Source organism: Homo sapiens, chromosome 18 (assembly GCF_000001405.40).
Source record: "Homo sapiens chromosome 18, GRCh38.p14 Primary Assembly".
In the NCBI taxonomy this organism is placed as follows: Eukaryota; Metazoa; Chordata; class Mammalia; order Primates; family Hominidae; genus Homo; species Homo sapiens.
The window spans coordinates 37,357,775-37,371,807 of NC_000018.10; the positions used below are offsets into that span (position 1 = coordinate 37,357,775).

At 52.8% G+C, this 14,033-nt stretch overlaps 1 protein-coding gene across 125 annotated transcripts in view, besides 2 other annotated features; it reads right to left on the reverse strand.

Annotated features, from left to right (window-relative positions):
* The window catches only part of CELF4 (CUGBP Elav-like family member 4), a 322,955-nt gene that overhangs the window by 114,931 nt on the left and 193,991 nt on the right, over positions 1–14,033 (reverse strand). The window lies entirely within an intron of this gene.
* Positions 4,332–5,328: an enhancer, noted in NCBI's record as "NANOG-H3K4me1 hESC enhancer chr18:34942069-34943065 (GRCh37/hg19 assembly coordinates)". NCBI's record gives its function as "activates a minimal SCP1, AML or CMV promoter by ChIP-STARR-seq in naive and primed H9 embryonic stem cells {active_cell/tissue: H9 hESC(naive and primed)}" and the evidence as "EXISTENCE:reporter gene assay evidence [ECO:0000049][PMID:30033119]".
* Positions 10,518–11,338: an enhancer, noted in NCBI's record as "H3K4me1 hESC enhancer chr18:34948255-34949075 (GRCh37/hg19 assembly coordinates)". NCBI's record gives its function as "activates a minimal SCP1, AML or CMV promoter by ChIP-STARR-seq in naive H9 embryonic stem cells {active_cell/tissue: H9 hESC(naive)}" and the evidence as "EXISTENCE:reporter gene assay evidence [ECO:0000049][PMID:30033119]".

Here is a 14,033-nt window from a genome sequence, read left to right on the forward strand (position 1 = left end):
CAGCATGACCTGGATGTGAGACATGGAGTCAAAGGCGATCATTTTGGAGCTCTAAGATTTGACTGTCCCACTGGATTTCGGACTTGTGTGGGGCCTTTAGCACTTTTGTTTTGGCCAATTTCTCCCATTTGGAATGGCTGTATCTACCCAGCGCCTGTACCCCCACTGTATTTAGGAAGTAGCTAGCTTGCCTTTGATTTTACAGGCTCACAGGCGAAAGGGACTTGCCTTGTCTCAGGTGAGACTCTGGACTGTGGGCTTTTGAGTTAATGCTGAAATGAGTTAAGACTTTGGGGGACTGTTGGGAAGACATGATCGGTTTTGAAATGTGAGGACCTAAGATTTGGGAGGGGCCGGGGTGGAATGATATGGTTTGGCTGTGTCCCCACCCAAATCTCACCTTGAATTCCCACATGTTGTGGGAGGGACCCGGTGGGAGGTAATTGAATCATGCGGGCAAGTCATTCCTGTGCTGTTCTCATGATAGTGAGTAAGTCTCACAAGATCTGGCAGTTTTAAAAACGGGAGTTTTTCTGCACAGCTCTCTCTTTGCCTGCTGCCATCCGCAAAAGATGTGACTTGCTTCGCCTTGCCTTCCGCCATGATTGTGAGGCTTCCCCAGCCACGTGGAACTGTGAGTGCTCCATTATACTTTCCTTTGTAAATTGCCCAGGCTCAGATGTCTCTTTATCAGCAGCGTGAAAACGGACTAATACAGAGGATAAGACATTGTGTGCAATATGGCTACAGCAGGACATGGATAGGTAGGGGGCTGGGGAAGGCTGGCAGGGAGGCAGGTACCCCCAAGACAAGGCCACCCTGACCTGTTTGTGTTCTCCTGAATTAGTCCAGGTGCTTTACACCTCGCTGTGAATCTTTGCTCAAGGTTGGCACAGGAGCAGGATGCAGGCGCATGCATGAAAGCGCGTAGGCTGTAGTCCCTCCCTCAGGTTGCAGGACTGCAGGCTCCAAGAGGGCACACAGTGTGCCGAACTTGTTCCCTGTGGCCTGACACAGAGTAGGAGTTCAGCAAAGACCTGTCAAGAGGCTGGGCATGGGTGGTTCATGCCTGTAATCCTAGCACTTCGGGAAGCTGAGGTAGGTGGATCATGAGGTCAGGAGTTCGAGACCAGCCTGGCCAACATGGTGAAACCCCATCTCTACTAAAAATACAAAAATTAGCTGGCATGGTAGCATGTACCTGTAATCCCAGCTACTTGGGAGGCTGAGGCAGAATTGCTTGAACTCAGGAGGTGGAGGTTGTAGTGAGCCAAGATCGCCCCACTGTACTCCAGCCTGGGCGACACAGCAAGACTGTCTCCAAAAAAAACAAAACAAAACAAAACAAAACACAAACCTGTCAAGTAAGTGAAAGGGTGATGTCATGTGAAGGGCGACAAGGGAGCCTGGCAAAGGAATAAGCAAAAGGCAGGTCAGGCACCCTGAAGACTCAGCCCATGTGAGAGGATCTCAGAGGTGCCAAAGAAGGGCTGGTCAGTGGTCACCTCTGGGTGTGGAGCTGAGCAGTGCTGGGCCATCTGGATTCCAGCAGAGCCATCATTTGTTGCCTTTTTAGTTATTTATTTTTTAAGGGTCTCACTCTGTCACCCAGGCTGGAGTGCAGTGGCGGGATTATAGCTCACTGTAGTCTCAAACTCCTAGACTCAAATGATCCTCCCTCCACAGCCTCCCAAATAGCTGGGCTGCGCACCACCAGGCCTGGCTAATTTTTAATATTTTGTAGAGACAGGGTCTCGCTATGTTGCCTAGGCTGGTCTTACACTCCTAGACTCCTGGCCTCAAACGATCCTCATGCCTTGGCCTCCCAGAGTGCTGGAATTATAAGCATGAGCCCTCTGTGCTCGGGAAGTTGTTGCCATTCTCCTGTCTCAGCCTCCTAAGTAGCTGGGACTACAGGCACGTGCCAACATGCCCAGCTAATTTTTGTATTTTTAGTAGAGAAAGGGTTTCACCCTGTTAGCCAGGATGGTCTCAATCTCCTGACCTCGTGGTCCGCCCACCTCAGCCTCCTAAAGTGCTGGGATTACAGGCATGAGTCACCATGCCTGGGCTTTCTTTTTTTTTTCTGGAGATGGAATCTTGCTTGCTCTGTTGCCCAGGCTGGAGTGCAGTGGAGCAATCTCGGCTCACTGCAACCTCCACTTCCCCAGTTCAAGCAATTCCCCTGCTTCAGCCTCCCAAGTAGCTGGGATTACAGGCATACACTACCATGCCCAGCTAAATTTTTTTGTATTTTTAGTAGAGACAGGGTTTCACCATGTTGGCCAGACTGGTCTCGAACTCCTGACCTCAGGCAATCCACCCGCCTCGGCCTCCCAAAGTGCTGGGATTGCAGGCATGAGCCACCATGCCGGGCATTTGTTGCCTTTTAACCTGCAGCTGCCTGTTTCTGGTTGCTCAGCTTTGCCTGCTGAAGTCCTCTTTGCAATCTCTGGCCACCACCACCATGGACACTAAACATCTGATCCAGGGATGGAGTCTCAGAGGGCCCCAGAGACCTGAGGGCTCTGGGCAAGCACCACTTTATCACTGCTGGGCCAGGGACCTCCCCTGACACTGGCACCCACCGGCTGCACAGGAACCAGCCTGCTGAGCACAACCTGTGAGCAAGGCCTTCTGCAGAGCCCTTCAAGTGGACCCCTGAGTGGGGGGATCCCCAGTTAATAACACGAGTGAGCACTTACTGTGTGCCAAGCTCCCTTCTCGCCCTTCACATGACAAGCAGGGCAGTACTACTGAAATCATCCCCAAAATGAGGACAGATGAGGAAACAGAGGCCCAGATAGGTGAAATCACTTGTCCGAAGCTATGCACTGGTCTGCTCAGAGCCTGTCTGGAGGCAGGCAGTCTCGTTGCAGGGCTATACTCTTCATGCCTGCAGGCTTCTTCTGGGCAGGGAAGGCTCCTCTGCTGGCTTGATATTTGGGTTCTGTACAGGCATCTGCAGATGTGTGGGTGAGTTCAGGAGGACCACCAGTGGGACAGAGGGGGAACTGCTTGGGATTTGTAGCCAGACACGCCCATTACTGAATCTCAGTTCTAATGCGTGGAGCTATGTGATTGCGACAAAATCCCTCACCCTTGCTGGGTCTCCAAAGTGGGGTTTATTTACATATGAGCCTGTTATCTTTGTCTTTGTGGGGTTGTCAGGATCAAGGAAGGCACATGTTATAAAACAAGACCTAGCACAGGTATGGCCCACAGTAGGTGTTCATTAAACTCTAGTTACTTTTAGCAGCCATGCCCCTCCCCACTCATGTTGGGGCCCCCAGCAATGCTGGACATACATTAAGCCTTGACAATTCTGCTTGTGAAGGCCATTCATACAGGAAAGCCAGTTGTCATTTGTACAGGTACTTTAGGGTTTCCACAAGGGTGTTGATCTTTGCAAGTGTTGCATTTTCTGCCCTGGATCTGGCTCAGCAAACATATCAACCCAAAGGGCAGAGTTAAACCAAGAGCTAAACTTGGGTGTGGAGAGTTAAAGACGCACCAGGATTAAAGTCGCTAAATGGGGTTTTTGGTTGTGCCTGTGGCTCACCAGCTAACCGTAGCTCTCGTCCAATGCATCCAGCTGCCTGACGGGTTCCTGTTCCTCCAGGGAAGCTGGGGTGGGGTTTGGCAGGCTGGCCAGGCTGGCAAGCCTGGGGTAACCGCATGCAGCTGCCCCATTAGCGAAGTTATTTAGACTTTTGTGTTAACGACTTCCAAAGGCAGCACTCCTCCTGAATATGCAAATCGAGAGTCTTGGCTGTTAACAAAATTAGCTGCCTCGTTTACAGTTGCACCCCTACTCAGCTCCAGGGTGTGGCCTGGAGCAGTGCCTGGGCCCCACCCAAGTGTGGAGGTGGGGAAGCGGACTAGCCCTGCAGCTCCCTTCAGCTTTATTCCCGCCTCTTTCCCTCCTAAGGGGTCACTCCTGCTCATCAAGGATGTTTTAAGTGGCTTTTAAAGCCTTTGCTCCAGCCTCATTGGGAAGACTACCCTCGGAGATGCCCAGCCGGGGGAGCAACCTGGCCCATTAGAGCCATTCTAGTGGCAGCCCCTGCTGGGGAGGCATTAGGGAGGGGGGCGGGGGATTCCTTCCCAGCGCTTGAGAGCACCGGGAAGAGAAAGGCAGGAGGGAAGACCAAAAGAAGCTTCAGAGGGTACCCAGGGGCACTGAGGCCAGGCCAAGAGGCTGCTGGAGTGGGAAGCGGACGGTCAGAGGAGCCCTGTGGTCCCCTTCACCTGGGTCCTGGGGTCCGGCCCGTGCTGATGGAGGCTGTCCCTCAGTCTTGGTGAAATGAGCAAAGGGCCCAGGGCAGATGAGGGGAGGAGGCCTGGCCACATCCCCAGCCCTGCAGTCACCCTGACCCCCAGGGACAAGTACAGATCTTCAACTTGGCGTCTGAGGTGCAGGCTCCTCAGCCCAGGTGCCCTAACCAGTAATTAGCTCCAGCTCCAGCTCCAGCTCTAGCTCTGAGGTTTGTTTGTTCCAGCCCCGCTCCTCCTCCTCCTCTTACCAAATGGCATTTAAATGTTAATCAAGTCAGGGTTGCGGACGCATCACTCCCCGGCGGCAGCCGAAGGTCAAGGCCAAGCCTGGGAGGCAGCCCCATCTCTTCTGGGATTGGCGATTCTGCAGCCCTGTTAGCTCCAGGCATGGGGCTGGCCGGCTGTGGGGCTCCTAGGACAAAGCGGGACGAGGACAGGGTTGGGGGGCTGGGGCACGGGCTGGGTGTGGTCAGAGAGCACAGTGCAGACTCTGCCGGGCTGGGCACCCTTCTGCCAGGACACAGGGAGGGTCACGGGGCTGCTGCAGCCTGGGGAGCAGGCTTGCTCTGGACTTCTCCATGGGTACCCTAGCTCGAACAGGCCACTGGGGCACCCGCTGGCTGCCCTGCCCTGCCCGCGCTGAACTCTGAACCTTCCTCCCCATCCTGTGTCAACTGTGGCCTTTCTCTCCCTCTCTTGCCAGTCACCTGCTCTCACCTCGGCTCTCCCTGCTGATCTGCTGCCTTCCAGGGCCTCCCTCACATCTCATTCTGACAAATCTGCTCTACACGTTTGCACACCTCAGTTCAGGGGTCAGGTGGTCAGGTGTTGGTTCGGGCAGCTTCTAGGTCTGGACCAGAGAGATGCTATTCCCTCTCAGGCCCCTCAGGAGATAACAGGAAGGACCCTGGCACACAGTAGGGTCTCTCTAGATTCTTCTGGTTTCTTCCTTGCTTTTCTTCTCTGATTCTCCCTGAAACTCATTTCTCCCACTCTCTCTTCTCCCTCTCTGTCTTGGGCACACCCCTGAAGAGAATTCACCCCAGGAGCCTGGCTGAGCAGCCACCAGAGCAAAGACCCTCCTGGTGCACTACAGGGTCTGCTGGGAGGGTCTTGGGGGCTGTGTGGGGAGGGGACGAGGGTGGGGGAGGTTAGGAGGTGCTGAGTAGGCTTTCATGCTCAAAAAAATCCCATTAGTAGCCTCCCGACAAAGGAAGAGAACTTCCCATCAAGGCAATATTTTCATGTACAGAAATTTATCACCTACCAGGACACAAACAACAAATAGGAAAGGAGGAAACATTTTTCCAGGTATCCAAAATGAACATGATGAAAATAAGTACAAACATTCTTCACGTGAGAGACTTCTCAGGCCTTCTCTTAGAGCCTTACAACTCTTACTTTAGGCAGAATTCTAACTCTATTGATGCTGTGTGGTCCTAGCACACAAAATCGGGACACAATGAGGGGTGGCAGGTGGCAGACGTTACCAGAGAGTTATGCTAGTAGAAGTAGAACTTGTTGGCTGCCAGCCACCTTACTTACAGGAGGATGATAGAAAGAATGGTAAGATTTTGGTGTCATAGGGTATGGGTTTTCAGTGACCTGAATGATCCTTGGTTAATCAAGGCATGTTATTTAGCATGGCTTCTTCATAACTGGGATGCAGGCTCTGAGCTTGCTATCCTGCAGTGGGCTGAATCTTTGTGCACGCCCCCTGGACAGTGCCTGGTCCCCTTTATGCACGTGCCCCTCCCTCCCACATCTGTGCCTTTCTCTGCCCCACTCCAGCCCCTGTCTTATGCTCAGGACCCTGGGTACTCTCTGGCCTCCTCTGCCTGGTCCTTGATGCACCCATCTGTCTGCAGTGAGGCGGCTAGTGGTGTGGACTGACAGGTGGGGACCACATCTGTCACTGTGTCTCCAGGAACCTATTGCTTCTAAGACCCAGGGGCCCTCTGAGGAGAGGCCTGAAAAAGGGATAGGGGCACAGCCTCTTTGCCTGGTGGAGGTCTTTGTTCTATGCAATACCTTGTCCTCAGATTCCTTTAAATGGGAATGTTTCCAGGGGATTTCCAATGAGGCACGATGGGAGCTTCTGTTTGCACTTAGGCTTGGGGAGCAGTCAGTGGGTGCATGTGCCCCTTCCCTTGCTGGCCTCCTTCCCTCCTTCCTGCACCCGTCTCTCCTCTCCCCTTACCACCAGCTTCTTTACAGACATAATGTTCTTGGTTTTTGCTGTTTCTCAACCCAAGGTCCTTTCCCCGGGGCAGGAGAAATGACAAGTGTCCTTTCACTTCTCCCTGGCAGCCACTTCAGGAATTGGCCCCATTCCCAGCCTGGGCTCTAGAACACATGCTGGAATGTCAGGCACTCAGGCCAGGGCTGAGGAAGACAGCATGGAACACAAGGATCCCAAGACAGTAATTTGAGGATCCAGCACTGGGGCTCCAGGCTCCAGGCTGTGGTCTAGAGGCATGGCTGTGGTCTGCAATCATGAGCCTGGATGGGGTTTCTCTTGGGGCTCCATCTCCCTGGGGACCCCGAACTCAGCAGTGCATACTATCCACCAGGCCCAGGTGTCTGCTCAGTCCATGGAGAGGATTTGCCCAGTCTTTTCTGGTTAGTCCTAAAGAACTGAGAATTAGGAAGAGAAACAGACTGCTTATAAGTAGAACCATACTCAAATGCTCTCATCATAAGGTATTCCAAAGCTAAATATGAATGATTTCTATGCAGTTCAGTGATGGGGTATGGGAAAATAGAAAGAACAGAAGACAGAACCTCTGCCCTCTGTAGACTGGAAGGAGGGTCAGGGAAGGCTGTAGCAGTGACTATGGAGCTCAAGACGGGCAGACAACGGGTGCTAGAGGAGGTAGGAGAGACGGAAGGTCAGCAGGGACCAGGGCAGTTACAAGAAGTCTCCTGGGGTGGTGAGAATCTGGCTGGGTCTTAAAGGAGGAGGAAGATTTGGGAAGATAGCAATGATGGGAGAGGTTGCTGGGAGAATGATTTATAGGATAGGATGGGCAACAGCAGAGAATGATTTTACTGAAGTAAGGGGTGGATGCTGAGCAAAAGGGACTTTAAAGGGAGAGGAAGAGTAAGGCTAGAATACCAAGGGCTTTGAAGGCTCAACACAAAGACAACAGGCAGCAGCTGCAGATTCTTGAGCAGGAGAGTAGCCCACAGAAGATAGCAGTGTGGGTCTCAAGCACCCTCAAAGTTGGGCAATGGAGAGTTGATTGAGCCCTTTCTGAATACCCTTCTACCAAGCCCGATGGAGTGAACATAATGAAACCTCATTCGAAGGGAGAAGCATGTCGCCCACCCCCTGTGAATTGAGGCTAGGAGCCAAGGGCTGGGGTGGGACCTGGATGAGGCAGAGGAGAGAATTTCTTCACAGATCCCTGAAGGCGGATGGGGCAATTTTTTTTTTTTTTTTTTTTTTGAGATGGAGTCTTGTTCTGTCACCCAGGCTGGAGTGCAATCATGCTATCTCGGCTCACTGCAACTTCTGCCTCCTGGGTTCAAGCGATTCTCCTGCCTCAACCTCCTGAGTGGTTGGGATTACAGGCATCCACCGCCACACTCGGCTAATTTTTGTATTTTTAGTAGAGACCAGGTTTCACCATGTTGGTCAGACTGGTCTCGAACTCCTGACCTCAGGTGATCCGCCCGCCTTGGCCTCCCAAAGTGCTGGGATTACAGGTGTGAACCACCGCACCCGGCCTGGGATGGGGCAAATTTAAAACTAAGGCAACAGCCGGACACCAGATCAACTCTTGAAAGATGATGGACATAGTACAATATGGACATAGTGTTCATACTTTACAATAGTAAAATCCTGCCTATGGGCCCAAATAATCAATTGAGTGATCAGGAACAAGGGCCCCCTATTGACCCTTTGTGTGAACATGACCTGGAAGTTTCAGTAGGAATTTAGAGGGAGGCAGGCTTTAGGTCAGCCTAAGGAAGAACTTTCTAGCTTTTAAGACTGACCATGGAATACAGCATCTTGAAAAGGCCATGATCTCTGTCACTGGAGATGTTCACAAAGGAGAAGCGGTATCTACCACCATGTTCTTCTCTGTGTACACCATGCTGAGGAGGATGGTCTCTGCTTCCCCAAACCAGATCTCGAGGCACTCAACAGGGTAGGGCTGGGGCTGGAAAAGCTATAGCGCAGACCCAGAAAGCTGCTATAGCACAGAGCAGCAGTGTGGCCAGGTCTTCACTGTCACTGTAGTTATGTGTAACATCCACAAAGACACTCAAGTCACACCCAGATGTCAGCTCTCCTGTGTCCAGGCCCTCACTTCTCATCTCCACTTGCCAACTCCGAACCTCACACAAGTCCCACTAGATGGCTCCTATTCCATTTTTGCAAGCAAAGCACTGAGGCTGAGAGGTGGGTGGCTCATCCGGTCAGGGGAGGTGCAGGGGCTGCAGTGTGCCCGACTCAGACCCCATTCTTCCCCACACTCCGGTTTGGGGCCCTTGTCTGGTCCTCTCCCTGCTCAGTAGGACCTGAGGCTTGGTTCCCATGGAGATGGAGCCTGGGAGAAGGTGGAGTTTCTCATCTGTATGAGAAGCCCCTGATCTCCATTAGGCAAGGAGGGTCAGGGAGGGAGGCATCGCCACTATCATTGGAAGACAAGAAGACTGGGCTTGGAGAGGGTAAGTAGCATCCTTGGGGTCACAGAACACCTGGATTTGAATCCCAGACCTGTCTAAATTCCACGCTTCTATTTTTCCCACTACATCCAGAGCCTCCCTGTCTGGGTGGAGCCCTCCACTCCCATCCCACCCTCTTCACTTCTCTCTGCTTCCACCCATCTACCCGTGCCCCATGGAGCTCCTCTTCTGGGTGGCCCCTTCTTGGTTTCTCATTTAAGAGGTATTTACAGAAAACACCATTGAAAAAGCCAAGCTCTGTGGGATCATCTTGAAAAGGAGTGGGAGACTGGGGAGGCTGGCATCCCAGAAGCCTTAACCTGGCTTCAGAGGTGAGATCTGGGAGAAGAAACTTGGCAAGCTATGCGGCCAGCATGCACCTGAGGAGGGGGCATTGCAGGGTTAATGTGCTAAGGTGTTTGCAGGAGGAAGAGGAGGAGCTAGGGCTCAGGTTGTGGTGGTGGTGGTGATGGTGGTGGTGGCTACCTGGAGGAGGTGTGACGAGAGAGTTGGAGAGCATGGAGCAGGTGGACAGAAAGGAAACAGTGTTAGTCAAAGAGAGGGGGTGGGAAGGATGGAGCAGCCAGACTGGAGGCAGACACGGGGGAGTGGGGAGATGTCACTGGAGACAGTTCGTTTGGGGCCAGGAGCTGTGGGCTCCTGAGTCTCTGCTTGATTCTCCCAGCCCTGGGAGGCAGCAGTGGGTTCCTGAGCTGGGGCAGGGGTGGGGATGGGGAGGACAGAGGGAAAGGATGCTCTGGGAAGGCCTTTCTTGTCCTGCATAAGATGCTTGGGACAAAAAGGACAGGAAGGCCACGGCTGAATTTCCTAATGAGATCTGGTGTTGGGTGCCCGGAAGGTGCAATGTGCAGGATGGTCTCTACCTTCCCAGGTGTAGGAACAGAGGAACAGAGGAAGGAAAAATGCAAATCAGGTCGGGGAGACTGTGTTTTTTTCTTTTCTTTCTTTTTTTTTTTTCTTAAAAGAGAGAAAGAGAACGAAAGCACAAGTGACATTTGGAACCATAATACCTTAAAGTCAATATCATTACTTCTGATATTTACTGTCAGCTCCGTGGCGCCGGTGAAGTGGGAAAGTTCATCCATCTCTCCTAACGCTGCTGCGTTGCCAAGAGTGTCCCTCTCCCCACCTTTCCTTTGTGCGATTCCAGTTAATTGTTTGGCTGTGTTAACACCCCCCACACCCAGCCCATCTTCCAGCAGAGTCAGGGGGAGGGTGGGCTTGCTGAGAGGAGGCGGCATGGTGCGGTGCAGCCCAGGGAGGTGGGAGGGGAACCAGCCCTGGGTATAAAGAGCCAGGTTCCAGCACCGACCTGAACACAGCCTGTGGGTCATTTGGGTCTCAGTGACTCCATCTGTGGAGGAGACCTGGGCATGGTGACACTATATATGTCCCAGGATACAGGCATTCATTCAAGTATTCATCAATCCTTCGGGCGAGAACTCAGCCTTCCCCTGCCCCCCAGCCCAACTTTGTGAGGCTTTGGTTTCCTCTGAGCACAATGTGGAGGAATCTGCCATCTGACCCCATCTCCCTCTTCAGCCCCATCCTTCCCTCCTCCCTGCCCGTCTCCCTACTCTAGACCACAACTCAGGGGGAATTCTCTTCAGCCCTTGTTGCCTGTCAGCCCTCCGCCTTGATCCTCCCCACAATGATGTACACAGCAGGGGCCTGATGGCTCCCCAGGGAGGGGTAGGGAGGGCACTGTCTCCCTCCCGCTTGGTTCCTGGCTGGCCTCCCCTCCCACTGCCCATGCCAAGGTCCTGTCCCGTCTTGTCTGCTGCTGTCTCTGACTGAACCTCTTCCCAGGGGCCTGGTCTGATTTCAAATCCAATTTTCTGCCATAAACTTCCTCCTTCTCTGTGTTGGCAGTGAGCCTCTGTCACTTTCAGCCAGCAAAGTCATTTTTCCTGCCTGACCCCAGGGTTTGGGGTCACCTCAGCGTGCAAGGAGCAGGCAGCTACAGCATCCTCCTCCCCTTCCACACGAGTGAATGAGCCCAGGTCTGTCTAGCCTGTGTCCCTATGGAACAGCCCCGTGTGCACACCAGTGAGCTGCCCATGCACACCTGTACAGTCTGTGCCTGTGGCGGTGCAGGTGGGCATGCACCATTTGTGTGCAAACATGAAGACCTGGGTGAACACCTGGGCATCCCTGTTTGGGGGAGATGTGTGGTCCTGGTGCATACAAGCCTGCACACATGACCACATGCGCACTGCAAACCTCCGGGGGATCGGCCTCCTGGGGGCTGAGTGCTTGCTTGGGCAGCTCTAAGGTGGATTCCAGAATGGGGAGGGGAGGAAGGAACAAGCCTGAATAAGGTTCATTTTGAGATGCTTCCCCAGGGAGATGGAAACCTCCTGCCCCCAGGCCCTCCCATTAGCCAAAAGGCCAAAACTCTTTTTCCTTTCCGTATCTGCAGCCTCCACCATGGGGCTCCCAACACCCGAACATGTAAACCTATAACTATCTCTCCCAGAACACTGCAGTGTATGGTGGGGGGGTGGGCAGCGGGAGGCTGGGCTCTCTCTCAGGGTCTACTGGGACCCAAACCCTCTCCCAGTCATTGCCTCCAGGTGCCTCCTTGCCCCCAATTCACTGTGGCTACAGTATCTTCTAGAGGATTGGCTCTCTGGGTCTTTGGAGGAACCTATGAGTGGCTCTGGGGACCAAATGTCACCTTTGCCCAGGTGGGTGAGGGATGTAAGGATTGCTCCTGGGTTTTCTGAAACCTCAACAGCATCCTGTCCACACCCTCTCCTCGTATACTTAAGGGCCAGGCACATTGAAATAATTTTACAATTCTTTAGACACTCTGGGATTGCTCCTTCCTCTCTAGTTTCACCATCTCTGCCCTCGTTGCTTATAGGGCTACACCTACACTTGACTCCACCACTCAACAGCTCAAAGACATGCTATGGCTTCCCAGTGCCAAAGAATTAACTTTAAATCCTATGGACTGGAATTCACAGTTGATCCCAGTGACTCTCGTAGAATCACTGCTGTCTCTAACACCATTCACTTTCTGTTCCAGCCAGGCCAGGCCATACGCTCATCTCTGTGTTCATACTCTCTGTGCCCAGCCAGCACAACAGATCCCAAGAGATATTGCCCAGGAAATGTGCCCATGCACTGTGCCTTCTGCATGAGAGCTGTGCCTGTCTCCTCCTGGCTCTGGGGCCTTGGGCTGTGCAAACTGCAGAAAGCCGAAACGCCCCTCTTCACCTCTGCTGAGCTGACACTGCAAAAGCCTTTGCTCCCTCTCCTCAGAGCCCAGCCTAGTCCTCTGGCTTGCCTCAGCCTAGTATTCCTCTGAAGCAGAGGTACCTACAGCCTGAAACCACAGGGACAGGGACAGAGAAATCCAGCAAGCAAGAGACCCTCAGACTGTTCCCAGCTTCCAATCCAATAGGTCCTATCCCAGAAAGGTTCTCTGGCCTTAGTGTCCTTTTATGCCTCCTGAGGGACTAGTTGTCCTGCTTTCCCGAGCCCGAGGGGAAGGAGGAGAGGATGGCTGCCTGGTTGGGGGCCATTTCCCCAGGCTTACGTTACTCATAGATCCATTCTACTGCTCGGAAATGGAGGGCTCCACTCTTCCCACCTTGGTCTTGGGTGTTACTGGAATCATTACACTTAGAAGGGGTATGGCAGGCTGGAGGTGCCCTGCATTTCTCCAGACCCAGTAGGAATCACAGAACCCAGATGTCTCTACAAGGGAACTTTGAGGCCATCCAGCCTCCCTACATCCTGACAACAGTCCCACTTAGTGACCCCTGCTTTGAGGCATCCAGTTTATCTGCCTATGATGATCTAACCCCACGAGAGTGGCCACATACTCCTTGCACAGCAATGAAAAGTAGCATGCTTTTAATGTTTGCCTAAAATCTGACTGCTTGTACTTTCCGCAGGTGGCCCTCCTGTTGTCTTTTCGAGCCCCAGAAACAAGCCTTTTCCTTAGGACCACCCTGGAGTGACCCTTTTCGCAGTTGGCCCTGCTCAGCTTCACAATGCTGGCTCTGTGACCAAATGTCACGTGTCAATCATGTAAAATCCTTCAGCGTGCTAACCACTCTCCTCTGAACTTAGTTTTTGTGTAATTTTTACCCAGTTCTTCAATTATTCCCAGAACTGGTTGAAACAGCAAAGAGCAGACTGTGACTGACACCTCCTCCTGGATGTCACACGTGTCTTCAAGCAGTCTCAAGTGCAATTCCATCCGGGGCAGCCAAATGCTGCTGGAGCCTCCTATTGAGCTGTCAGGAGAAGCACTTGCCCGTGGGCACAGCAGCTGTGTTCTTCGCCTGTCCCTGCCTCTGTACTTAGATCCTCAGCCCCGAGCCTTAGAAAGACCCCATATTTCTCCCTATTGAACTACGTCTTGTTGGATTCTACCCATCACGTCCATCTGCTAAGATCTCGTTGCACTGTTTTTCTGCCATCTAAGGGATGCACCATTTTTCTCAGCTTTAAGTCATCTGAAGATTCAGTCAATCTAACCAACATTATCTTTAGCCAAGTCATTGATAATGTGGATTATGGCAGGACCAAGCTGAAAAATTCATAGTGCCAGCCCTGGAGCAGTTCACAGGTGGCCAAGGCCCCAGGGTGCTCTGTGGGTCCTTAGGACCAATAACTGGCCAGAAGCCCAGGGATCCTGGCCTCAGGGGATGTGCAAGGACTCTCGAGGAGAAATGAGCCCTTTGTGGCCATCTTGCCCAGCGCCTTCTCTGCAGGAATGTAGCAGCTCCTCTCCTGATAGAAAGATCCCTCCTTTCCAGAGATGTCCTCAGACTGAAGAGTGGGGCTTCTCATGATCTGCTTCTAGAGAAGCCCTTTGAGCAATGCCAGGCTCCTAGTGTAGGCTTTCTTGATTCGTTGTTGAGAAAGGGAGAGAAGAGGCATGGTCTTGCCACCAGGAGCTGGGAGGGGGCAATCAAGGCCCTTGGCTACCCCTGTGAATGTGACCACAGGGCTGGCCCAGGATGGAATAAAAACAGCCAGAGAGGGCTTGGGGCAGTCATTAAGCAGTGCCCAGGCCCTGGGGATGGTATCAAGGG